General features: G+C 37.5%; 1 long non-coding RNA gene across 1 annotated transcript in view; it reads right to left on the minus strand.

Annotated features, from left to right (window-relative positions):
* Positions 1-13,550, minus strand: part of LINC01846 (long intergenic non-protein coding RNA 1846) — a 75,374-nt gene extending 61,824 nt beyond the window's left edge. The window contains exons 1-3 of the long non-coding RNA NR_146477.1: positions 13,258-13,550; positions 13,011-13,103; positions 12,617-12,730 (exon numbers count right to left, since the gene is read on the minus strand). This is a non-coding gene — a long non-coding RNA (long intergenic non-protein coding RNA 1846). The remainder of the gene's footprint in view (positions 1-12,616; positions 12,731-13,010; positions 13,104-13,257) is intronic.
* Between the last annotated feature and the right edge of the window lie 13,408 nt (positions 13,551-26,958).

The following is a 26,958-nucleotide window of genomic DNA, read 5'->3' on the forward strand; positions in this document are numbered from 1 at the left end:
TGTCCTGTCTCTTCAGGCTCCTCTTGGCTGTGACATTTACACAGACTTTCTCGGTTGTTGATAACCTTGGCAGTTTTAAGGAGTACTAGACAGGTATTTGGTAGAACATCTCTCTACAAATCTCTATGGAATTTGCCTGGTGTGTTTCTCTTGATTAAACTGAGGTTGTGAGCTTAGGTGGAAACATCAAAGGGTAAACTGTCATCTTTCCGGCATCATATTAAAAGAACATACTATCAAAATGACTTATCACTGATGATATTGACCTTTATCACTGGCTGAAGTTGTGCTTGTCTGAATTTTTCACTATAAAGTTACTCTTTTTTTCTCTTTACATACAGTACTCTTTGGAATGAAGCCATTATGCACATCCTACTCTTTAAGTAGTGGGGAATTATGTTCTACCTCCTTGAAGGCAATGTATCTAAATAAATTATTTGGAGTTCTGCTGCACAAGAGATATGCAATTATTTATTTATATCAATATGGGTCAACAGGTATTTATTTTATATTTTAGGTTATAATACAATACTACCTCTTTTTGTTGCACAAATTGTTACAGCTTTGGCCATTGGGAGGTCTTTCAACTTGTTCCTGTGTTCTTTGACAAATGCCTATCATTTTTTTTTCTTCTTTTTTGAGACCAGGTCTTGCTCTGCAATCCAGGCTGAAGTGCAGTGATGGGATCACAGCTCACTGCAGCCTCAATCTCCCAGGCTCAAGTGATCCTCCCACCTCAGCCTCCTGAGTAGCTGGGACCACAGGTGCATGCCACCATGCCTGGCTAATTTACTTTATTTTTTGTTGCTACAGGGTCTCTCTATGTTACCCAGGCTGGTTTCAAATGCCTGGGCTCAAGCAATCCTCCTGCCTTGGCCTTCCAAACTGGTGGGATTACAGGTGTTAAGTCAAGAGGCCCAGCCATTTTTTTTTAGGCTCTCTCTAATGGAAGATCAAGAAAATGTAAGTGTTTGTATTACCCAGTGTACATATGCATATCTATAAAAATTTCTAGATGTAACTATTTTTATCTATATTAAGTTAAATGTGAGTCCATACTGATGTCACTAATTCTAATCCATTACTATATGGATTATTATAGACTTTTCCCCTTACTTGTTTGTTATTCTTACTTTAACAATGAGAAGACTGGCTCCTACCATTTGCCATTCATTTACTTAATTGCTTAGTTCAAATATATGTAAAACAATATTAAGATTGTTAACTCATACCTCCATGGGAAAAAACTTTATCAACTGAAATACAATGCTTATGTGCAGTTTCTTTTGCCTTTTTATTCTTACGAACTCTACTCATTTTAAAGTTATTTAGGTCAGCACCTTTTTCCTCAACCCCTTTCAATGAGGTTGTTTCATGCACCTATGACACAGTTAGATTATTTTGTCATGGTGCATTCCATCCTGAGCTTCACTGACCTCCTAATTTTTCTTTAAATTTTCAAACATTAAGGTTCTGTCCTCATACTGTAAAGTTTTATGGGTTTTCAAGTGTGCATAAAGTGTCATTAAGTGTCATACAGAACAGTTTCACTACCCTAAAAACAATCCCCTGTGCTTCAACTATTCAACTCTCTACACCTATAACCAAACCCCTGGCAATTACTAATCATTCTACTGTCTGTATGTCCCTTTTAGAATATCATACAATTAAAATTATACAATATATAGCCTTTTCAGAACAGCTTTTTCACTTAGCAATCTGCATTTAAGGTTCTATCTTTCCATAGCTTGATGGCTCATTTCTTTTTATCACTGATTAATATTCTATTATATGAATGTACCAAGGTTTGTTTACTCATTTGCTTATTAAAGTCCATCTTCATTAATTCTTATTTTTTAATGATGACTAAAGCTGCTATAAACTTAACATGCAGTTTTTGGCATGGACATTAAATTTTCAAGTCAGTTGGGATAATGCCTATGGCACAATGCTGTATAATGGTAAGGTAAGACTATTTTTAGCTTTATAAAAAAACTGCCAAACTCTTCTAAAGTGACTGTGGCATTTTGCACTCTCAAGAGGAAATAAGTAAGATTTCAGTTGCTCTTTGCTCCTCCTCATTCTCACCAGAACTGGGTTTGTGAGGATTTTTTTTTTTTAGCAATTCTAAGAGGTATTTAGCAGTATTTCCTTGTTTTAATTTATAATTCCCTAATGATGTATGATGTTGTCATCTTTTTATATTCTAATTTGTCATCTCTGTATCTTCTTTGGTGAGTTGCCTGGTCATATGTTTTATCCTTTGTCTATTTTGTATTGGGTCTTCTTCTTCTTCTTCTTCTTTTTCTTTTCTTCTCCTTCTTGTTATCCTTCCCTCCTCCTACTCCTCCTCTTCCTCCTCCTCCTCCTTCCTCTTACTTACTGAAATTATAGTAAGTTTTGGAATTGGATAGAATTTCTCCAACTTTTTCTTCTTCTACAATATTATATTGGATATTCTAGGTTCTTGGCCTTTCTATATAAATTTTAGAATGAATTTGTCAATATTGAAAAGATAGCTTTTTGAGATTTAGTTGAAATCTATAGATTTGAGATTTATGTTGAATCTATAGAGCAAATTGGGAAGAAGAAACATCTTTACAACACCGAGTTTTCTAATCCATGAACATGGAATATCACTCCATTCAATTAGAGCTCTTTGATTTTCCACAGTTTCGTATTAATAGCTTTTAGCATATAAATTATGTACATATTTTGTTAGATTTATGCCCAAATATTCCATTTTTGGGTGTTATTGCAAATGGCATTGTTATGTTTATTGCTGGTATGTAGAAAAACATAGTATCCTAGTATCCTGCATCCTTATTAATTCCAGTATATTTTGTTGTCATTGTTAATTGGGATTTTATCACACTCTTTGTGAACAAAGACTATTATATTTCTTTCTTTTTCTTGTTTTATTGCATTAGCTACCACTTCCATGATAGTATTGAATAGGTGTGGTAAAGGGGACATCCTCATCTTATCTTGATCTTAGATGGAAAATGTCCAGTTTCTTACCATTAACTAGTATCTGTAGCTCTCATGTTATTTATAACTGATACTTTAAAAATATTTGAGAACACCTAAGGTTGTTGCTATTTTTCACTTCTGATATATTCCCCCTTTTGTTGCTACCAATAAGCTGCTTATTATCTTCCAAAGAGCTGAGTTCATTTTAAAGATAGGCTAGGATAGGAAAGAATGCAAGGATTGTCTGTTCTGATGAACAGTAAAAGATAAATGAAATCTTAATCAGAAGCAATAAGTTGAAGCTCATAAGCCACTCCTTGGAGCCATATTAAAAAACAAGAGAAGATCTAAACCCCGTTTCTACTAAAAATACAAAAATTAGCTGGGCATGGTGGCACATGCCTGTAGTCCCAGCTACTTGGGAGGCTGAGGCAGGAGAATCACTTGAACCCAGGAGGTGGAGGTTGCAGTGAGCGGAGATCATGCCGCTGCACTCACTCCAGCCTGTCAACAGAGCGAGACTCCGTGTCAAATTAAAAAAAAAAAAAAGAAGAAGAAGATCTAAGTTTCTAAATTTTGTTCCTGGGTTGGGAAGTGTCTTTCTAGAAATACCTATTTTTATCTGCTCCCCTTGGAGTTTAAAGAATTTGATCAGCATGTAGAGAAGGGGAAAGATGAGAAAAGGCGATTTCAAGTTCATAACCTGAAGGATTTGTTTCTTCTATTCCAAATTGGAATTCTGAATGAATTCTATTATAGTAACATATCTATATCTGGTACCTATTTTTCTCTAGAATTCTTGGTCAGATACCATGTTGTACTTCACATATTATGCATTCATTTATTAAACATCCATTGAGTGTGGTCTCTGTGGCATTGAAAACCCACCTAGTACATAATTTATCCCTATGCATGAACATGCTCTGAATTCAAAACAGCTGATTTCCACATGCAGCATTAGATCCCAACTATTTGAACCAGTTGAGTCCCAGTAGCAGAGATTTCCTTTTGCAGGGACAAGGCAAAATCATTACATAAAAGGTAATTTTTAGTCCTAATAAGAGTAATATCTCTGGGCTCATCTTTCCACTTTTCTTTCAGTCCAGTTTATTCTGATCTAATATCTCAAAATTTCATTCTGGTTTTTATTATCTTTTGTGAGAGAGACACAAAAATATAATAAATTATAATAAGCATACATCCCCTCTGATTGATTTACATGAGAAAAGGCTCCTTCTGGAAGAGAAGAGGTGTTAGGAAAGATACAAGAGAAGGAAAAAGCAAAGGAAAGAGTTTGGACCAGAAAGAGATTAGATAGATAGGTAATTAGATTAAACATGTGTAGTAAAAGAACAGTCATGGTGAGTGAAACTGAGTAGAGAGAAGAGTGAAGAGAAATTTTGCTGTGCATTAGGCAACATAACCTCTTTATTGTACCACTTTGAGCATATTTAGTAAACATTTGCATTCATTTTTCTTTTTCAATATTGAAATAGTGCTTCCTTCTCTATGACCTCACTCATATTACTTGGTTACACTAGTTTCCTTCTTTCTGCCTAACCCCTTGCATACTAAGACTAATTGGCTGCTTATGAGGCCTGATTCTAGTTTTGCCCCTAGAATCTATGGCTCAATTTTCCTTTGATTCCAGCCCAGCCTGCCTGCTGGAGCAAGCCTATGCTAACAGATACCCCACCCCATATCCCACATTCTGTATTCCCTCTTGCCTAAGACTCTTGGACAGTCAATTGTGTCAGGAAACTCATAACAAGTGATTACATTAAGAAAATCAAATTTTATATGGCAAACTAGTTATAAAGCTTCCAGGAGGATGATAAAACAAAGAAGGAACAAATTAGCAACATCAGGAAGTGACTAGCATTACTAAGATGGCAAAGGCGAAGACACAGGGAGAAGATGTTATACAAACTGATAAACCAGGGCCATGCAGTGAGAAATCAGAGTCAATTTAGGGGAGCTGGGACTATGGAGAAGGAGACACAGCCACTGCTAAAGACTGTCTGAAACCAAAAAGGTAAGGGGAATACTCTGGCTTCTCTCTTCCTTCCACCTTCCAGTTTCCCACTAGTGCTTCCCACTGATGAAGCTTAGTCAGAAGCCAATGGACAAAGAAGCTAAGAAAGGTGATTTTTGAATTTGTGGGGTCAATCAGCTCCCTGTAATTCAGAGCAAAGCAGAGGAAGAACAGAGAAATGAGCTGAAAGCAAACAGAAAAATTACATACAAAGACAATAATTCTCTGAGGACCTAGTTCACAGGTCCTCTCCACTGATCTCAATTCTCAGATCTATTACTATTGCAGATACTGCCTACCCATTGTATATTCATTCATAGTTGCTGCATTGTATCCCAGTTAATGAGGATGTGTCCAGACTTTTGGGTTTAAGGATCTTCAGTGCTATGCTATGACCACCTACAGCTTTAGACACTTTATGAATCGATGCTAAAACTGCAGATGGTTCTCTGGATTTGGGTCCATCATAGAGAGCACCACCACTTCTGCCTCCCCCCACCACAAGAGCAATTTCTGGAGAAATGTATGTGCCTCTTCCTGGTTTCATGCCTTGCACAGAAGCCATATAATTGGGCCATAACCCTCCTTTCTCCAGGTTGCTTGTTGAAGATACCTTACCTCCAAGCAGTACTAAGCAATATCTTTCACAGGTTCACCCTGGGATGATGCCCACCAATAAGATGGGTGGAGGCTGGCAGGATCAGAATCAATGACCTGTTGCCCTGTAGAATGTTGGCCATAATTCCAGGACAATATGCCCCTAGAACAACCAGTTAAAAGGGAAATTTAAAATATCACAAGACAAAATGGAAACACAAAATACCAAAACTTATGGGATGCAGCAAAAACAGTTCTAAAAAGAAGTTTATACCAATAAACACCGACATCAAAAAGGAAGATCACACCTGTAATTCCTGTTACTCAGGAGGCTGAGGGGGAGAATCACTTGAGCCCAGGAGTCTAGACTGCATGAGCTATGATCATGCCACTGCACTTCAGCCTGAGTGACAAAGTGAGATTCCATCTCTTAAAAAAAATTAACAAATAAATAACATTTTGTCTTAAGAAAATAGACAAAGAAGAATACGCTAAGCCCAACGTTAGCAGAAGAAAACAAATAATAAAGATCAGAGCAGAAATAAATGAAATAGAGACTAGGAAAACAATACAAAAGATTAACAAAATGAAGAGTTTTCTTCAAAAAGATAAAATTGACAAATCTTTATCTAGAAAAAACAAAAAAAGGCTCAAATAAATAAAACAAGATATTAGAAAGGAGATATTACAACTCACATCAAATAAAAATATGAGACTGTTATAAGCAATTATATGCCAAAAAAAATTGGATAACCTAGAAGAAATGAATAAATTCCTAGACACATACAACCTACCAAGACTGAATCACAAAAAAAAAAAAAAAAAAAAAAAAAAAAAAAAAAAAACAGAAAATCTGAACAGACCAAAAAATGTAAAAGAAAAACTGTAAAAGAGGCATTAAAAATAAAGATGCTTTGGAATAATGAGTAAAGAGATTGAATCAGTAATAAAAAGTCTTCAGCTGGGTGCAGTGGCTCATGCCTGTAATCCCAGAACTCTGGGAGGCCAAGGCAAGCAGATCAACTTGAGGCCAAGAGTTCCAAACCAGCCTGGCCAACATGGTAAAACCCTGTCTCTACTAAAAATACAAAAAAATTAGCCAGGCTTGGTGGCACATGTCTGTAACCTCAGCTACTCAGGAGGCTGAGGCATGAGAATTGCTTGAGCCTGGGAGGCAGAGGTTGCAGTGAGCTGAGATTGCTGCACTACCCTCCAGCCTGGGCAACAGAGCAAGACTCTGACTGGAAAAAAAAAAAAAAAAAAAAAAAAAGTCTTCCATCAAAGAAAATTCCAGGACCTGATAGTGTGATCGTTAGACTCTACCAAGCATTTAAAGAACTGTTACCTGGGATAATGGCTATGTGACATAGCTGAATTTCTACCCTGCCCTAACTCTGCTTATCTTTAAGAAACAAGACGCCTATGATTAAAATTCTCGTTGTAATCAGACTGGTTAGAACCAGACCTCTTTGTTTTGAGATTGTTTAGAACCAAGATAGCCAATTAAATGACTTCAAAAAGACCTCAGGCTTTATTATAATCTATTTCTACACTAAATGACACTACCTTCAGTGCCATGACAGTTGACAATTGCTGTGACAATGACCAAAAGAAGCCATAAAAGGAAGAAAAAGGGAGGAAGCACTCCATTTCCAAAAAGTTCACCACCCATTTACAAAAAAAGACATGAATATCCTTTCCCTCACTTTTAATGTCCACCCCATGCATTAGAGATACCCCATATTTTAACCCACTCACCATTTGCTAGTCAAGAAGTTGACTCATGAGCCATGCTCCCACTTCTCAATTCCATGACCATTAAATAAGTCTGTACTGCTTGAAAATCACTTTCAGTTTCCCACATTTGGTTTCATGACACTGAACAGGGAAAGACTCCATCTTATAGGGGACCAGCTTTGTCAGTAACAGAACTGGTTAACCAGTGTGGGGCCCTGGACTAAATGGTCCACCTCCCTATATGGGAAGCCCCTTATCTCCCTGGAGACCCAGCAACTGGCACCCAACAGCATCAGCTGACAAAGAATTCTGACCTATACAGAATATTCCATCCGACAGAATACACATTCTTCTCAAGAACATACAAAACATTCTCCAGGATAGATTGATGTTAGGTAACAATATTAATGTTAGCAAATTTGAAAAGATCAAATTATATCAATAATCTTTTCCAGTCACAATCAATAACAACAGAAATTTTGGTAAATTTGCAAATACCCAGAAGTTAAACAGTATGTCCCAGAACAACCAATTAAAAGGGAAGTTTAAAATATCGTGAGACAAACAAAATGGAAACACAGCATATCATAACTTATGGGATGCAGCAAAAACAGTTCTAAAAAAATGTTCATACCAATAAACACCTACATCAAAGAATGTACGTTTATCCTGTCTCTCGGTGCCAGGGATCAGCTTTGAGGAATGTAATATATTATTGTTGTGATGGAGTAAGCAGGCAGGCAAAGGGTTATAAAACTGTACTGGGAAGGACCCGCTGAGCAATGTACGATGGGACATTTTCCCAGGATTATGGTTCTGCATGGGGACTCCTGGCACCACATTACTGTCCCAACCTCAGTAAATGGGTCCTTACGTCCCAAGACTCCCTTAAGTGTCTCAGCAAAGGTGAGAAAGGAACTGAAGGGTGGCTATGCCCCAAATAGAGGGCCTGAAAAAGGTTCTTGAAAAGATGAGAGAAGAACTGAAGGGCTGACAGTCCAGACTGCAGGATTAGGAAATAGCCTATAGGTAAATTGTGTGTGTGTGTGTGTGTTTGTGTTTGTGTGTGTGTGTGTGTGTCCTTCTCTGTTTCTCTCTGTTTACTCCTCTTAGTGTTTGTTCTCTTACATCCGTAAAAACCTCCAACATACCATTTTTCTTGCACTGGAGAAGCTTGGGTTTCATCCTTCTTGGAAAACACCTCCTCCTACTCTTTGACAAAGCCACAAGGACAAGGTGGCCTTGGCTACTCTCCTAAAAGGAGAAGTGCCAAGGATGCCTAGCTGGCCTTCAAGGAGATATCAGGGATGCCTGCATGCAATGATAAATAGTAGCTTTGTGCACGGTAAGAAATATTTAGAGTTCAAATGGCTAGCCTGCACTTATTGAGTTAAGTAGTTTTCTAAAGCTATCTTCCTCTCTTTTCTTTGCCTGCTGTGAATCCCCTGTTATTCAGTTGCTGGTGCTGAGATAAGACTTATTATTTCTGGTCTAACTGAAATGGAGACATTGAAAACCCATTTGAAACTGAAAAAAAAAACTGTAAAGGAGGATTACAAAAAAAAAAACTGCCATAAATACTGCTTTACCCAAATTTTCCAATTAAAAAAAATTAAATCCACTATTTTATCACTTATAAAATGGTGAGTCTGTATTGTATCTCATGGCTAAAATTCTGAGGTAAAAGCTCTTGGATCTTTGTGTATGTACAGATGTATTATCTTATGTGGGAAGTCTAGCATACCACCAAAGTGGCTTATAACTAAATAAGTACTCATGAATTAGGTAAGTCCAAATGCTCTTCAAGTTCACAAGAATTTAGTAATCTTTGATAAAAATGGTTTTCAAATTAATAAAATAAAAATTTTAAACATGTCTTCAATATTGTTAGGATATATTTTTGTCCAGATTTGCTAATTATTTTATATTTAAAACTCAGTGAAGGGAAACAGAGCCTCTTACCTGCAGGAAAGAAAGACAGGTGGCACGGTTTTGGAAGAGAGGCAGACCCAACATTTTCACATTCCTTCACACTCACCTTCCAGGATACTGGGCGAGGCCCCAGTTGAAATGGGAAAGGTTCCCTTGTCCCCCTAGCAGGGAATGTGATGCGGGTGTGGCTTGCTTCTCCAGTGCCCCACTGCTGGAACCTCTAGGGGAGCATACACACAGGCAGGCTGTGGGGCAACAACCCCACGGCAGTGTCTAGGGGTGAACGTTTACAGCTGAAGCCCCAGTGGGTGTGTGTTACAGGGACCTCTTTTAGTTTCCCTCTATAGGTGACTTGTGATAACCAGCTCAATTAGACCCCCTTCCTTATCACAAGGACAGAACGATTTCTGTATCCCAGGGTTTCTTGCCTTGGTGTACCAGAAAAATCAGATCACACGTGGGCTTGGAGAAGGAGTGCAAGGTTTTATTGAGTAGAAGTAGCTCTCAGCAGATGGGGGAGTCAGAGGGGAGATGGTTTTCCCCTGGAGTTGGGCAGACTTTCTCTGACTGCCCTAGCTAAACTCTGCCTCATCCCACTAGTGGATGGCCTGTGATGTGCTAGCGTGCCTGCCTGCATCTGTCGGTATGCTCTTCTGATGGCATGCTCCCTCCCCATCCTCTCACGTCCAGCCACTTGTGTCTTCTTCTGCTGATGTGTTCCTCTTGATATCTGGCTGCCTGTGTGTCTGCCCACTAAGATCTTGGGTTTTTATAGGCCTAGGATAGGGGCCTGGTGGGTCAGGATGGTCTTGAAAAATGCAACATTTGGGCATGAAAGCAGGAGTGCCTGTCCTCACCTAGTTTCATGGGGGTGAAGCCCTTGCCAGGGACCTGCCTGTCTCTACCCAGCACTGCCCTGCCCCACTCCTATATCACTGTGTGGACCCAGGCATCCAAAAACTCCCCCACAATATTTAGAGAAGCCTTAGCTAGGGACCTGGAGCACCTGATTCTTCTGAATGGATGGCACAATTTGACCAGCATTCTGAAAACTTAAAACCCAACTCACGAGGCCACCACCATTAGCCCTAACCAACCTAAACAAACCTTTTCATCTTTATGTTTCATAAGAGGAAGGAATTGCTCTAGTAATACTAACTTGAAGGTTGGGCCCACTGACCTGGATAAACGATCTACTTTTCCAAGCAACTGGAATTACTTGCTAAACACTGGACTCCCTTGCCTTGGGTCAGTGTCAGTCACTGCCCTCCTTTTAAAAGAAGCAGAAAAGTTAACCTTTGGCCAACCCCTAACTATCTGGACTCCCCACCATACCCAGACCTTCATGAATGAAAGCAGGGCAGAATGGCTGTCCCCAGGCAATACTCTCCAGTTACAGACAACCATCACATAACTCTGAAGGTATCTAATAGCTTGAACACAGCCACACTCCTTCCACCTGAAGATGGTCACTTATCTCACAACTGCTCAGAGGTGATGGAGTAAGTTTACTCCAGTAGGCCGGACCTTAAATGTGAATCTATTGAGAATGCAGAATCCCAGTGGTTCCCCAATGGGAGAGGCTATATGCAAAAGGAACAGGGGAGGGCCGGCTGTGCTATGGTCTCTCTCACTGATACCGTAGAAGCAGGCACTCTTCTACCAGGATGCTCTTAGCCTGCACCGTCAAGCCCGCACTGCTTGACCCTCACTTTCAGTTTCATTGTATTGGCTTTGTGATACTGAACAGAGAAAGGCCCCATCTTTTGGGGGACAGAAGGCAGAGCTTATTGCTCTAACCAGGGCATAAAAATTGAGTGAAGGGAATGCACTTAAGTATACGCTGATTCCAGGTACTAATATTCCATCTTACACACACACGGCACTAGTTAGAGGAAAAGGGGCATGTTATCCTCTGACAATAAACAGGTCAAAAATGGCACCATCATTTTAAGGTTATTAGAGACTGTAAGAAAACTAGCCCAGGTGGCAGTAGTTCATTACTGCAGCCACCAGAAGTGGGATGTTAAGGTAACCAAAGAAAAGAATAAAGCCAACCTAGTGTCAAAACAGGTGACTTTAGGGAAGGTCACTTTCTAAATGCCACCTTCACCTTCTTTCCTGGGTCCCGCTCTTTTGATCCTGTCTTACTCTCAAAAGGAATGGAAAAAAGCCTCCAAATGGGGTTATACCAAAAGTACTGATCAGTCAAGATGGCTAATAAGCCCTCATGGACAATTTCTTTTCCCAAAAGCAGTTGCCTTGCAGACCGTTAAAACAAAAACCATTCTAACACTCACTGATCAAGAGGCCCTTTCACTGGCTTTGCAAAAGTATAACTGTCCCAACCCTCAGGGAGCTAATCAAAGAGGTGGTTGAGACTAGCCCCATCTGCTATGTTAATAACCCTAATATCCACCTTATGCAGTGGGTGGGGAGAAGGGAAGGGAGCCTACTCAGCTGGTCTAATACCAAGGTAGACACCCAGGGAAAGATTGGTAAATCGGTTTCACAGTTATGCCCAGGGGCTTTAAAAACGTATATACCTCCTGGTTCTTACAGACACCTTTTCAGGATGGGTAGAAGCCTTTGCCACCCACACTGAAATTGCACATGAGGTGGCAAACGTCCCCAGATTCAAGCTGCCTTGGTCAATCCACAGTGATAATAAACCAGCATTTATAGCTTTCATTACTAAGGCTGCTTCTTGGAGCTTAGAAATAAAATGATCTCTACATACCACCTGGAGACCACAGTCTCAGGCAAAATAGAGCACACCAACCAGACCCTTAAAAGGACTTTAGCCAAAGTAAGCCAGAAAACCCATCTCCCATGGATTTCATTACTCCCCACAGCCTTGTTAAAAATAAGAAAAACTCCAAAAGGAAAAATCAAACTGAGCCCTTATGAGCTAATGTATGGCCAACTGGTCCAGGTCTGGTAAGGTAACCAGGAGGTCCTCAGAAACATGAAAAAAATAAAATATGCTACCAAGGTTAGAAAAATAATAAAGGCCTTTCAGGAATACAGAATTCAAGGATTACCTTCATCATCTCATTTGGCCCTTCATCTTTTACAACCCAGGACTGGGTTTTGTTAAAAACCTAAAAGTGGGAAGACCACAAGATTATTTAGAACCTAAATAGACAAGACCTTATCTGGTAATTCTCACAACTAACTCTGCCTTAGAGTTACAGGGAGTGACGCCTTGGGTCCACCACACCCAGATAAAGGCAGCCACAGAACCTAAGGAAGAAAGTGCCACTTACCGAGCTGAAGCACTCTCAGACCTAAGGTTCCTTTTCAAAAGGATGGACAAGAAACCTCAAACAGATAGGTTACCTTGGGCCCGCGTATACTTTTCTGTCAGGACTTAATCTACTTGTCTTGCTTGCAGGTATTCAGGTATTCTAAGCTTTGCTCTTGGAGTCACCTTGTTTCATCCAGAGTCTACCCCTGTTTGGAAAACACATGACATCAAGGAGAGTGCAGTTAGAGAACCTAACGCCCAGACAAGTCAAAATATTTAATTGTTTTCCATTCCCTTCTTGCTCAAGGAATAAAACGGCGATTAGGCTTATTCTGGCTGGCATCAGGATAGTGGGCAGTCTCCTTGCCCCTTAGGGAAGGTTTGCCTACAATAAAGTTACCCTCCACAACTTTGAAACAGTTATAGAAACTTCAGCCTATAAGACCAGCGATGGCGTTATCTGCCTCACAGTCTCCCCAGACTTACTAGCCAATATCGTGCGTTATAACCATCCGGCTCTTGATGACCTCTTGGCAGAACAAGGTAGGGTGTGTGTAGTCACCAACACTTCCTGTTGTGCTTGGGTAAATAATTTTAGATAAATTAAAAAATACATTAAAGTCATCTACAACCAGACCAAGTGGTTGCACCAATTTAACCAAAAGGGCATGGGCCCTCAGGGAATATGGAAAAATTATAAAACAGGCCATCTCTAATCTCACATGGTTCTTACCCTTCCTGGGCACTTTAGCTGATATCCTACTTCTCTTGATCTTTGGGCCCCGTTTCTTAAACTGCCTTGTTTCTTTTGTGTCTAAGCAAGTTGAGGCCATATAGCAATATGAACAGCTAGGCTTATACCCAGGAGATAACTAGACCTACCCAAGACTAGCTAGGAAAGATTTCACTGCTCTAATGGGTCCCATATCAACACCTGGATTCAGCTTAAAGAAGTTATAGAAGATGGACCTTCATCCCTTCATACCCCTCAAGAATGAGGAGTAAATGTAGAGAAAAGGAGGAATTTGTTACACAGTTTAATGGTAATATGACATAGCTGAATTTCTACCCAGCTTTAACTCTGCTTATCTTTAAGAAACAGGACACCTGTAATAAAAAATTCCCTTTGTAACCTTTATGAGCTGAGACTGGTAAGAACCAAGACAGCCAATCAAAACACTTCAAAAAGACCTCAGGCTCCATTATGATCACATTTCCATGCTAAATGGCACCATGACCACTGACAATCACCATGACAATGACCAAAAGAAGCCATGAAAGGACAAAAGGAAAGGCAGCTCTCAGGTTCTGGGACATTTCCCTCCCATTACCAGAAAAGACATGAATATTCCTCTTCTCACTTTTAAGGCGAACCCTTTCATTAGAGAAATCCTATATTTTAACCCTTTCACCCCTCACTAGTTGAGAAGTTGATTTGTGAGCCATGCTTTTACTTCTCAATCCCATGGCCATTGAATAAAGCCTGCACTGCTTGACAATTTCAGTTTTAGATATTGGCTTTGTGATACTGAACAGAGAAGGACCCCATCTTTTGGGGAACCAGCTTTGTCAGTAACAGAGTTAATACCAATTCTCTACAAACTTTTCAAGAAATTAAAGAGAAGGGAACACTTCTAAACTCTGTTTACAAGGCCGATATTTTTCTGATACCAAAGCCAGACAAGGACATCACATGAAAAGAAAACTACAGGCCAATGTCATTAATGAACGTGATGCAAAACTCCACAACTAAATACTAGCAAACTGAATTCAGCAACACATTAAAAGGATCATTCACCATAATCCAGAGAGATTCGTCCCTAAGATACAAGGATGATTCAACATTCACAAATTGATAAATATGATACACCACATCAGCAGAATAAAGGACAAAAATCATATGGACAAAAATCACCTCAAAGTGTATTAAAGACTTTAAACATAAGACTTGAAACTATGAAACTGCTAGAGGAAAACATAGGAGAAAAACTCCATTACATTGATTTGGGCAATGATTTTTTTAGATTTGACCCTAAAAGCATAGGCAACAAAAGCAAAAGTACACAAATGGAGTTACATCAAAATTTAAAAGTGTCTGCACAATAAAAGAAACAATGAACTTACAGTTTGGGAGAAATATTTGCAAGTCATATATCTGATAAGAGATCTATCTCCAAAATATAGAAGGAACCCAAACAATTCCATAGAAGAAAAACAAATACTGTGATTAAGAAATGAACAAAGGACCTGAATAGACATTTCTCAAAAAAGACATACGAATGGCTATTAGATATATGAGAAAGTGCTCAACATTACTAATCATAAGAAGATGCAAATTAAAATGACTTCACAACTGTTAGAATGTCTATTATCAGAAGACAAATGATAACAAGTGTTGGCAAGGATGTAGAGACAAGAGAACCCTTATACACTGTTGGTGAGGATGTAAATCAGCACAACCATTATGAAAAACAGTTTGGAGATTCCTTAAAAAACTAAAAATAGAATTATCATATGACCTAGCAATCCCACTACTGGGTATTTACCCAAAGATTTGAAATCAGAATGTCAAAGACATGTCTGCATTTCTGTATTCACTGTAGCACTATTCACTATAGCCAAGAAGTGTCCATCAAGGTATGAAAGGATAAAGAAAATGTGGTATACATACACTATGGAATATTATTCAGCCTTAAAAAGGAAAGAAATTCTGTCAATTGTGACAATGTGGATGAAACTAGAGAACATTAGGCTAAATGAAATAGCCAAACACAGAAAGCAAAATATCATGTGTTCTCACTTATATGTGAAATCTAAAACTATTTAACTCATAGAAGCAGAGAGTAGAAAGCTGATTGCAGGGGCTGGGGCAGGGTGGAGAACAGGGAGATGGTAACTGAAGAGTACAAGCCTCTTAGATAGGAGGAATAAGTTTGATTTATTTTGTTTGTTTGTTTGTTTGTTTTTTTTGGAGATCCATTGCACAGCATGGTAAACATAGCTTATAATTGACTACTATAGATTTCAGTATTGCTAAGAGAGTAAATTTCAAATGCTGTCACAAAATAATAGTAATACTTGAGGTGATAGATGTTAATTAGCATGATTTATGCATTCTACATTGTATTCCAAAATCATAACATACTTTTTACCCCATAAGTATATTTAAGCATTATATATATACACCTATAGTTTATCAATGTAATACAAATAAAATACCCAAAACTACAAAATCATATTCAGGTCCCCCGGATTATACCATTTCAACTTAAATCTTAAAATACAAGCAAATAAACAAACACAAATTCTCCATTTTAAAAAAAAATAACTCTCTTTTTAAAATGTCTCATTTTATCACAGTTTTACAGCAGCAATAGCATGATGCACATAAGCTTGAGTATCCCTTATCAGCTTTCCCGGGAGAAGGATGGCAGAATTAAATTTCCATGCAACACACTAAGAAATAACAGGCACAACTTAGAATCAGGGATAAAAATTCAAATGGACTAGATTCTGGGATGAGACACCACCTAGAAAATGTGGCAAACATTAATGTTTCCAGGCAGTGCCACTCTGCCTTGTGAAATTACCTGGGTCTTTTGGTGTGCTGGCTACTTCTTTGTAAGTGGTTGAGTAAATTCATCATCTCAGTGTCATATGAGCTCACTGTTGGCATGGTTTCAAGAAATCTCATTATTTTTTGATGTCTGTGATGGATTAAAGATGAGAATATTGCTGGCCTAAGGGTTCGTTAGCCTTGCCTGTCATATTTGTCAGCTACAAAGCAGCTCTGCTGAAGGGTTAGGAGGGCGTTTGGGAGAGTGGGCCATTAAAACACAGTTCCATTACTTACACTCAGTTAGACTGAGGAAATGGAGGGTAACAAGTGTGAGAGCTGCCCCATGGGATCCATTTTCTTTGTTACACACCCAAAAAGAAAAAATCAAGATGACAGCAGAATGGCAAGAATCTCTCCCAACATGGGATGGCTACATCTTGTAATTTCTCACTGCGGGTGAAAAGTGCTTGTTTGGGTAACCTCACAGGCCATTCTGGGAGTTATGTGGCCAGGCAACATCCTGCATGATCAACCCCAATTCTTACGTGAACTGACCTTAGATTGCTCTCTAGCTGCTTAGAGGTGGAACAAGGCTATCTGTTCTAAGTCCTAGGAACAAAGGCTATTTGTTTCAATCACAACAACACATTGTGATTGAAAATATTAAACAAATTCTCAAAGATATTTTAAATGCCTAACATAATGATAGTAAAATTATCTTTAGTGCTATAATTTTTAAGTAGATATTATGTTCAAAAGTTTTCAGGAATGTTGTACATACAAGGTAAAGCAATGAACATCTGCAATGTTACCGAAAAATTGATTACCTAATTCATGGTAATGCCTTCCAGGATTATTTCTCTCATGTTCATGTAGGAGGTGCTACTTATAGATCAGACTATCCAGGGATGTAGATACCTTTGGAAATTTCTTCCCTGAAGTCCAATATAGCCATTTACTGCACCAAGTATTCTAACTGATAATGATATAGCGGTGAAAAAAAATACAAGTCCTTTCCTTGCTTTCATGAAGCTTACAATTTAATATGGTGACAGACATTAAACAAATCTTATCCTATAAATACATATTCTTATTTGGTTTAGTTCACTTAAAAATGTGTGTGTATCTACCACTTGTAAAATAATGCGTTAGTAGTTCTGGATTCTACGGACATGAAAACAACACAATCCTTTTGGCCTGCATGATGCTTACAGTTTTGTGGGAGAGAAAGATATGTAAGCAGATCATTACAATACTTTGTAATACATCTAGGCTTCTGTCTCATTCAAGAGAATCCCTTCCCTTCCCCTTCTGCTTCTGCTTCCTTTCCCTTTTCCCTTCCCCTTTCCTTTTCCCTTCCTTCCCCCACCTTCCTTTCTTCTTGCTGTTTATTACATTGCTAATATATATCAGGGACTATATACTAAGTGAAGTTCAGATAGGATCAATTGTCTGCTTATTATGTGCCAGGCACAGTGCAAATTGTAGTACATGCATTATTAACTCAAACAATTCCCAGAATGGTATTATTATTATTATTCCCATTTTATAGAAAGATTAAATAACTGTCTAAAGAGTCAAATGGGAATGCTGACATTTGAGCAAAGATCTGTGTGATTTCATAGTGTGTGTTCTTATCCACTATATAACTATATAGGAGATCTGTGTTAGAGTGAGATGTTATTCAAGAAAAAAAATAAACCTTAGCCAAAAGTGAATAAAGATAAATTATTTCTATAAAGTGAAAATATGTACCCAAGAAAAATTAAACTTGTCACTTTAATTTATTAACATTGTCCCCAAATGGATTAACGCTAAAATGTATTTTTAAATAGTACAGTATAAAACCTTTCATTAAGTAATACTATAAAATAGTGTGTATATGTATAGGTACATGTGTCCCCACACATGCAATTTAAAAAACTTAAGTAAAAATATTTTTATCTTTAAAATAGTAGCTCTGGGCTTAGTGGAAGAATTATTGGGCCTCACTAATTGCACCAAAAGCAATGGCTGTAACAGTGTAACCCTGAGAAAGTGTTGGTGAGGGCTTGGGGGACATCACCACCTGCTCTGTCAACTCCACATACGCATCCAAGAGGATGGAGGGAGGCAAGTGGATGGTTGTTGAAGGATTATGTTTTTTGTTATCTTAGTTAACATGGAGGCCACATGAAAATACACATTAGCTCTTTCTAAGCCAAATTTTCCCCTTGAGGTAGTCACGCAAGTATACAATACAATGCCTTATAGCTTATTCAGTGGTGTTAGAGGGAAACGAAGTTAAAAATGAACTTCAGGAGCCATGGATCCTCCTGTACCACCTCTGAGGGTGAAAGTCAGTAGAAAGATAGATCAGGCTCTGCCTTGAGATACACACAGGCTAGCAGAACTGAACCATCACCTGACACTATGGAGACGACTGAGCTTTGCTGAATGCACTGTTGGTAGGACCATAATGAAGCCAGGTCATTCCTACGCATTTAAATTCTCAGAAACACCAAAGCCAAGCAAGTTTCTCTGGATTCACCATGGGCTCTGGCTTAAGAAACAACTCACTCATTCGTTTGCAGGGATGTGCACATCTAACCCACAGCACAGGCCATTCACATCTTCTCACTCCCACAGGCTCTTGTAGGGGAACTGTTCTTTACTCAAGAGAAGAATCAGCTGTCTAGAGTCCCTAAGATAAGTAAACTAAAAATCTCTGCCTTAAGGCCTATTTGGTAGACAATTGTAAACAAGCTCAGATTTGTACTCCTCACCCTTACAGTGTTATATAATAAACAATTCAAAACCTCCAAATTTGATTTTATACATTCAGTGTTTTAAGAATTTAATCTTACTGTGTCAGTCTCCAAATCAATCTCCTAACACATTGTTTTGTCCATCCAACACTTACTGAAATTTGTTCAATAATGTATCTCATCTGCACCCCTTACCCATTGTACATACAACTTCTGGCTGCAGGATAGAGTCTACAGTCTAGAAGATTAAGGAAAAAGTATTGAATCTAAATTCCCAGAATTGTTCCTATAGTATTCCCATGAGTTCAAAGATCCTAGAGTAGAAGGACCATGTCTATTATTTCTTTTGAATTCCCAACTGCAATATCTAGCATGGTGCCTTAAACCTAACATGTTTACATTAGCACTTGAGAATATCTGCCTCTTTAATATTTATTATTTATTTTTCATACATTATTTTGGGGGGTACTTATTTTTTCTATTTATTTATGTAAGTTTTGCAGTATATGTGCAGGATGTACAGGTTTGTTACACAGGTAAACATGTGTCATGGTGGTTTGCTGCACCTATCAAATCCTCACCTAAAAATTAACTCCAGCATACAGTTAAGTTACTAATTTGGAAACAAAATATATTAGGAAGTGAGAATCATTCATCCCATAATTTTTGAAAGAGAAAATAATATATTTTAACATTTATCTATGCTTACTCTATGCAATACCTTGTTCTACCAAATTTTTAGAATTCACTTTTAGCTATCCATACTTTTCTAAGAATGGAAACATGTCTGCCATATTTTACACTAGAGAGTTACTGAACCTTGAAATTTTCACAACAGAAACAATGTCTTTTGCTTTCCCTTAGACAATTCAGCTGCTTCTTTTCAATACAATCTGGTCATTACACTTTTTAAGAACCACAGAAATATCCCCTCAGGGATTTTTTTCCCTTTCTTTCTTCACTCCAGCACTTTCTAATCTCAGGGGAAAGGACGGTGAATGTTTTCTACGTACATTTTCCATACTGTACAAATTCCCTGTATTTTCTTCCAATGGACACAACCTGTCTCCTTTCCTTTTATTAATTCCCCCATTGCAAAATGAAAACTTTTTTTAAAAAAGTTGAGTATTAGGTTTTTTAATTTGTTATTTTTCATGAAACAAATTAAACATTTTAACTACTCAGATAATATAGAAATTAAATAGAATGATGAAGGAATATAATAAATGACTATATGCTGAAAAATTCATATGTAGATAAAATAGCAATATTTCTGAAAAAGTTTACATCAGAAAAAAATAGAGAATTTGAAAATACAGTGTTAAAGAATGAAAGATGAAGATAAATTCTTTAATTTTAAAATTATCACAAATTAATGTAACCAGAATAATTATTTAATTTTATATTATATTAATTTGAAACTGAATATTTAGTACTTACACTTGTGAAATTACTATAAAGGCATTTGATATAATATGAAAATATTTTTCTATGAGTCCATCTTATTTACGAATATTATTTATGCTAGATACAGTGGGCATTTAGCAAGCTTCTTGGAAATTTTGAATGGTAAGACAAGATGCTGAGCACTAATTCAAAGACAAAGAGAAATTAGCAACTTTCTAAACTTGGGGTCATTAAACCCAGTGAGATCATTACTTTTTAAATAACAGAGTAGGTGAATAAATATATAGATAAATAATTTAAATATATAAATAATTTAAATATATAGATACATAATTTAAAACTTTTTCTCTTCTTTTGAATTTTTCACATAAGTTCTACACGTTACATGGATAATACAGCATGTAAACCCTAAAAGCTTTGATTCACTTTTTGTACCTTATGCCCAAAAGCTGTTATTTTATTCATGGCAACTCAAAAGGACTGTAAAAACCATACGAGTTAAGTCACACAATTGTCTGCATCTCTTGTCCAAATTCATTGATTAAAAGCCAACTGGTAATTTATCCCAACGTGTTAGGAAATGATCATTCTGTTCCTTGTTTTGTGGCTGTAATGGCTTTATAGCTATTCATAAGACTCCAGAGAATAAACATTTAATAAATTTTCATTCTCACCTCCTAATGTTTATACTTGGGTAGTAATAAGAGGAAGATTATTTTTCTTTCATTTCTAAAAGTTATATTTTAACTGTATACGGCAATAGAGTGAGATTATTAAAATAACACATGAAATGTAAAAACTATACAAATGGTACTAGTAGCCAAATTAATCCTGCAAAAAGGAAAACATTGCAGAAAACCCAAAAGGAAATTTAAAGTTTTAATGCTAGAACTTACAGCTTCCACTTCAAGTTGTCTTAATGAATAATGAGGGTAATAAAATGACCCTTAATATACTCAGTGAGTTTTCATCAATCACCTCTTAAAATGTCTGTAACAACAAATTGCTAGCTTATTTCTGATAGCAAATTGTTGTTTGAAGGATCAGGTACACACTGATAGAATTTTAAAACCAACATAACTGTGAGTTACTCCATATAGAAGAGGTAGATCATGAGTCATGAGTCTTGTGTACAGACAACATCGATGCAGTTGGGAAAATGAGGTTGAGTAAGGTGATTGATCCGGCAAAGGAAGCTTCTATATCTGGATGAGTTATATCCTGAGTTGTGTGAAAAATTTACAGAAGGAGCTCATTAAAACTAAATCAATCTTTAAAAATGTCAAGGAGATGAGAATAATGTCAGAAGACAAAAGAAAGACCAATAAGGTAAGACTTTCTAAATGATGTAAACGATGGATATTTGACAGTGACCTTCCCCCAAAAAATACTATGATAGATTCTCCAACTGATGATCTAAAAATTTAGTAAAAAACCCACTCACTTTTCACTAGGAGCACATACCAATTTACTAAAAGCAAATCATTTCCAGTAACTTTATTTTCTCTTTTGTTGAGTTTGTCTCAAAAGCAGAGATTGATTAGTAGGTTTCATTTGAATCTTTGGACTCAGTAAATTAGGGGAAAGAAGACAAGATTACTTACCAGAATATGCTGAGCAGAATGAAGTAAGACATTTTTTGCAATAAAGATCATATATTCGTACTGTTTGAGAAATAAGATGCAGGATTTCATAAAGTCATGTCTGAGATCACAAGTTACTCTTCACAGAATTCTGTAGTTTAGCAACATGGAGTTGAAGAAGTGAAACATTTTTCTGTGGTGTGTAGATGAGGTAGCATAGATGCTATTTTGATTCCATTGAAATCAACATTCTGAAAAACTGGCCCATAAAGTCCCATTCCTGATACAATTTTAAGCTAGCTTGCCTTTTTTTAAAATGAGAATTTATATAGTTATACATTTTAATAAGTTTAAATCAAATGTTCATTAACATTTACAATGAGTTAATTTAATTTGAAAATAGTTTTAGGAGCCATCATGCTCTCATAAATATTTTTATCTCTAAATATTTTTAGATATTTTTAGATATTTTATCTCTAAATATTTTTAGATGATTTTTGCTGTTTTCTACCAGTTCTAACTTTGCTAGAAGCTTGAAATGATCAAAAATATTTTTGTGAAATTTATATACCAATTTCTCCTTGGTCTTCACCCCAGAAGAAATTATAGACTTTAGGGACCTTTAGGGTATTGCAAAAGGTCAAAAACTCTATAAAAATGCGAAGGTTTAATTAATGGAGATGATGAAGAGCAGACAAGGCTTGATGGCTGGTAAGAAAATATGTGGAAAATTGTGCTTCAGATTACAGCAAATAAAGCAAAACATTTACACAAACCAGCCCTAATTTGATCTGTATCTGAAACATAATGTCATCCTTTTGATTTTTACTTGCTTGGTTAAATTTCGTTAAACAAAATATATAAGCATCAGTAATTTCCTGAGAAGCACTGTCATTTGAGAAAAGTGTAACTATAAAAGGACTAAAAAATGCTCAGTAATTAAGCCCAAGCTGATTACATTGAAGTAAATTTGTTAAGTCCTCTCACCTTTAAATTACATAGTAAGCATATCAAATAAATCCCTGTACACAAATCAAGTTTTTATATTTTATTTTTGTAAAAAGGGTATTTATTCCATTGACTCAAATTTAACAACTTACAAAAACAACAAAAATGCTAGACATTAACCAAATTTAATTTGAACCTTATCTCTCTAAGTCGTTGTCAAAGAATATGAATCCAAGGAGTAATTAGCATATGTGCCTAATATCCTTACCTGTTGCTTTGGCTGTAATTAAAATGCACAGTAAGAAATAGGGTTGGGCTCACTTTTTTGATCTATAAGACTCTGAAAATGTCAAGAGGCGAAGCCTGAGTTTCCTTTGCCTTTTGTCTGCTTGTGGTGAGATAGGATAACTATCCCTCTGGTTTTCCATCTGGTATAAGCTGATCATTAGGGAGAATACAGGGCAATTTGAAGCAGCTGTTAGAAGTAAAGCTAGAGAGTGATAAAAAATTTCTAACTACTGGACTAAAGGATCATAGTTCCTTATAATGTCCCTTTAAGCAGCGATCCCCAACCTTTTGGGATCCAGGGACTGGTTTCATGGGAGACAATGTTTCCATGCATGGGGTCGGGGGTGGAGGTGGGGTAGGGGAGATAGAGAGTTCCACAATAGGTTTCATGCTCCTATGAGACTCTAACGACCCTGGCTGTTCTAACAGGAGACGGAGGTTAGGTGTTAATGCTCCCTCCCAGGCCACTCACCTCCTGCTGTGCATCCCTGATCCTAACAGGCCACAGACTGTTACTGATCTGTGGACCGGGGTTGGGGACCCCTACCTTAAAGGGCCAAATAGCTTTGTCCTGGTAAACAACCTATAAGGAGGTAACATGTGCTTCCTAAAGTCATGGTTGCTGTCTTAAAAGACATGGATGAGAAGAGTTAAGAGGAGGGCTGGAAAATGGCAGAAAATACAACTGTATCAAAAATAAGAAATGAGCAATTCTATGAGGAATATGATTCTTTTTCACCTTAACCGAAGTGACACTATTTGATTACTTTCTTTTTTTCCAATCACTCATTATTTTCTTTCTAATCACTCCTATCATTGTCTTACATTTATATTTATTCTTTGCTTTTGTCTTTTCCAGTTTTGGTCCTTGGATAGCTTGTTTCACTTCACTTTCTTTTCCTATGGAATCTCACTCTGCACATCTTTTCCTATCTAGCATTCCTCCTCAAATCTTGAAATTCTTCTCCTTTGCTTCTGTAGATGCAGAGCATCATTTACAGAACCCCTCAACCTGTGCTTTGAACATTCATCTCACCTTCTTGCTCTACAGGAAATCTGGCTTTGCCCTGAGAACACTGCTTCCTCTGGGACCCTCCAAAAAGTATCTATTTTCTGTAATAACACTGGGCCCTAGGGATAAGGTATTTCCTCATTTCCACTTTTATAACATTCACTTTCCCCTTTCAACAGAAACCCTTATGTCATAAGTGTATCCCCACTCTCTGATTATTGCTACACTCTACTGAACCCCAAGTCATATCCCTCATTTCTGAGGAATGTCATTGTCATTATTTTTTCCAAATTCAATATATGTACAAGTGAGTTAGTCTTAAGCACTCTGACCTCTCAAGTGCTTGAACTTCTCTTCCTTAAAGATCTTATATGGCTCATTAATTTATCCACTCACTCCTTCTGTCATACTCCAAATTTTGTTATTAGCACCACCCATACCTTTTTGAAATGCAATTCCCTGCATCCCACCCTCTGACAGCCCCTCCTATCTACCCAGGTCCCTCACTCTAGTACTTTTCCTACTCTCCTCTAGCTGAAATTCTATTGTCTATCTTCTTTATTCCCTTGTATATACTCTTTCCCTTGCCCATCTGTACTTCTGTGGTAATCTCTTGGCAAAACTAAAATCCTGGTTAAATCTGTCTTCCATCTATTCCGTGCCTGTATCTGTGCAGCTGAATAAAATGAAGAAAAAAATCCCCAGTAATACTATTAACTCTTTAATGTGATGGCTACTCATACAAAGTTGGCTCTAATTGCTCTTGGTAATCACACTACACTTCAGGAGTCCATGCATTCACCTACTTTCTTAGGTGACTATGTCACACATCTTTTCTTCAAATCTCCGATAGCTCCTCTCCTAGCTTCACATTGCCCTGATAATTTAGCTTCTAATTTTATCAAGAAGATTGAATGATTCAGAAGAGAGCTTCAATAATCCTCTCAAAATATTCACCCACATTTCAGCATCTGAACTCACATATGCCTTACTTAATGTTACCCAGAAGAATAACCATGAGCAGGTACCACCACTTTTACACTAGATCCCATCCCCATTGCCTCATCAAGAACATGCTGGCAATTCTAACCTTCCATTTCTACATCATTAATTTTCTCTCTACTGGCTAATTCCTCTGAACCTACAACCTACAAATTCTCCCTCACATCTCAAAAGAAAAATATCATCTCTCAACACCTTTTCCTGACTATCTACCGTCCATTTTTGTGAAATCCTTTTCAGTAGAATTCTTCAGAAGAGTAATCTATATTCTCTGCATTTAATTCCTGTCCTTGATTTTCTTTTAGACTCATGGCAGAAAGGCTTTTCCCCCTTACAGTTTAAAATAGGTACAAACTATTGATTTTTGTCCTAACACACTAGTCACTTCCTCAGTCTGCTTTGCTGGCTCTGCCTCTTTTCCTCGATATATAAATATTATGATGCCATAGAACTCATCTCTTGGACCCTCTTGTCTTATATATCCACATTAATTTCTTCAGTTTCTCATTCAGTTTCAAGGGATTATATCTCCCCAGCCCTTCCAAATTCCACATGCACATAACCAGCTGTTTACTGGACATATCCATATGAATGTCTAATAAATGCTGCAAACCCAATATAGCTCAGATGTAATTCTTGGGCTAGACATTCCCATCTCAGTTGATAGCAACTCTATCTTCCAATTGCTGAGGTCAAAATCATTGCAGTCATCTGTGACTCCTCCCTTTCTCTCATATCCCCCAAAAGCCTGGTGACTCAACTTTTGAAACATTCAGAATCTGACCATTACTCACCCCTCAACTGCTACCACCTTGGCACAAGCTATTGTATCCTCTAACTTGAATTACTATAGTAGTTTCCAACTGTTGCCTTACTTTAACTCTTACCTCTTATTGTCTATTCTCAATGAAAGTCACTGTAAAAGTTTGAAGGTGTGAGTTGAACCATGATAGGACTCTGCTCAAATCCCTCTAATGTCTCCTTATTTTTATCTCAATAAAGACCATACTTCTTCAGGGGGGCTACAACTTTCTGTCTTCTGCCTGCTACCTCCTTCCTTCCTCACACACTCTCTCAACCGATCTCTCACACACTCTCTCACCCTATCTCTCACCGTACATCTCATCCTATCTCACCCTATCTCTCTCTCTTCCAGGGACATAAGCCTCTACTCTACTAACCTTTTTCCTTTGTAGCACATATCACCTACTAAAACACTATATTATTTGGTTATTTAATATGCTAATTCGCTTACTTAATATGCTTACTCACTTTGTAGATGCAGAACCTCAGAAAAGGATTCTACTGACAATTGTGTTTTAGGGGGAAGTGGAGTAGGGAAGAAGGATAGAGAAAGGAGCAAAGCCAATAAAAGATGTACTATCAAGCGAGGTACTACTATGGGCAACTGGAGATAATCCTAATATTCTCCAAGTGACGAAGAGTCCTCCAAAAAATGTATGCAAGCAAATAGCACAACTGGATTGTGCTCTTTAAATATAACTCTAAAAACATTGTAAAGAAATACAGCTGAGAGACTCAAATTAACCAGCAGAATTGTTTTCAGGATATTTCAGATGTTATTGCTGTTTTCATACAAGAAATGACAAGTTCTAAACTAAAATATTTGCAATACAGCTGGAAAAGAGACTGATAGATAGCATAAATAATGCACATGAAAGGTATAAAGGAGATGGGGCACATTTTTGCCAGCTGTTTTACATTATTGTTTGTGGGCTTCTTTTGACAAGGCATAAGAGAGTCCTCAGAAAAAATATACAGATAGTTGGAAGTTAACAGTGATGGGAATTATTAGTACTAAGGGACCATAGGCAGGGCACTAACAGAATTTTGTATGGTTTGACATAGCATTTGTGGCCCCAAATAA

This window comes from Homo sapiens, chromosome 5 (assembly GCF_000001405.40).
Source record: "Homo sapiens chromosome 5, GRCh38.p14 Primary Assembly".
In the NCBI taxonomy this organism is placed as follows: Eukaryota; Metazoa; Chordata; class Mammalia; order Primates; family Hominidae; genus Homo; species Homo sapiens.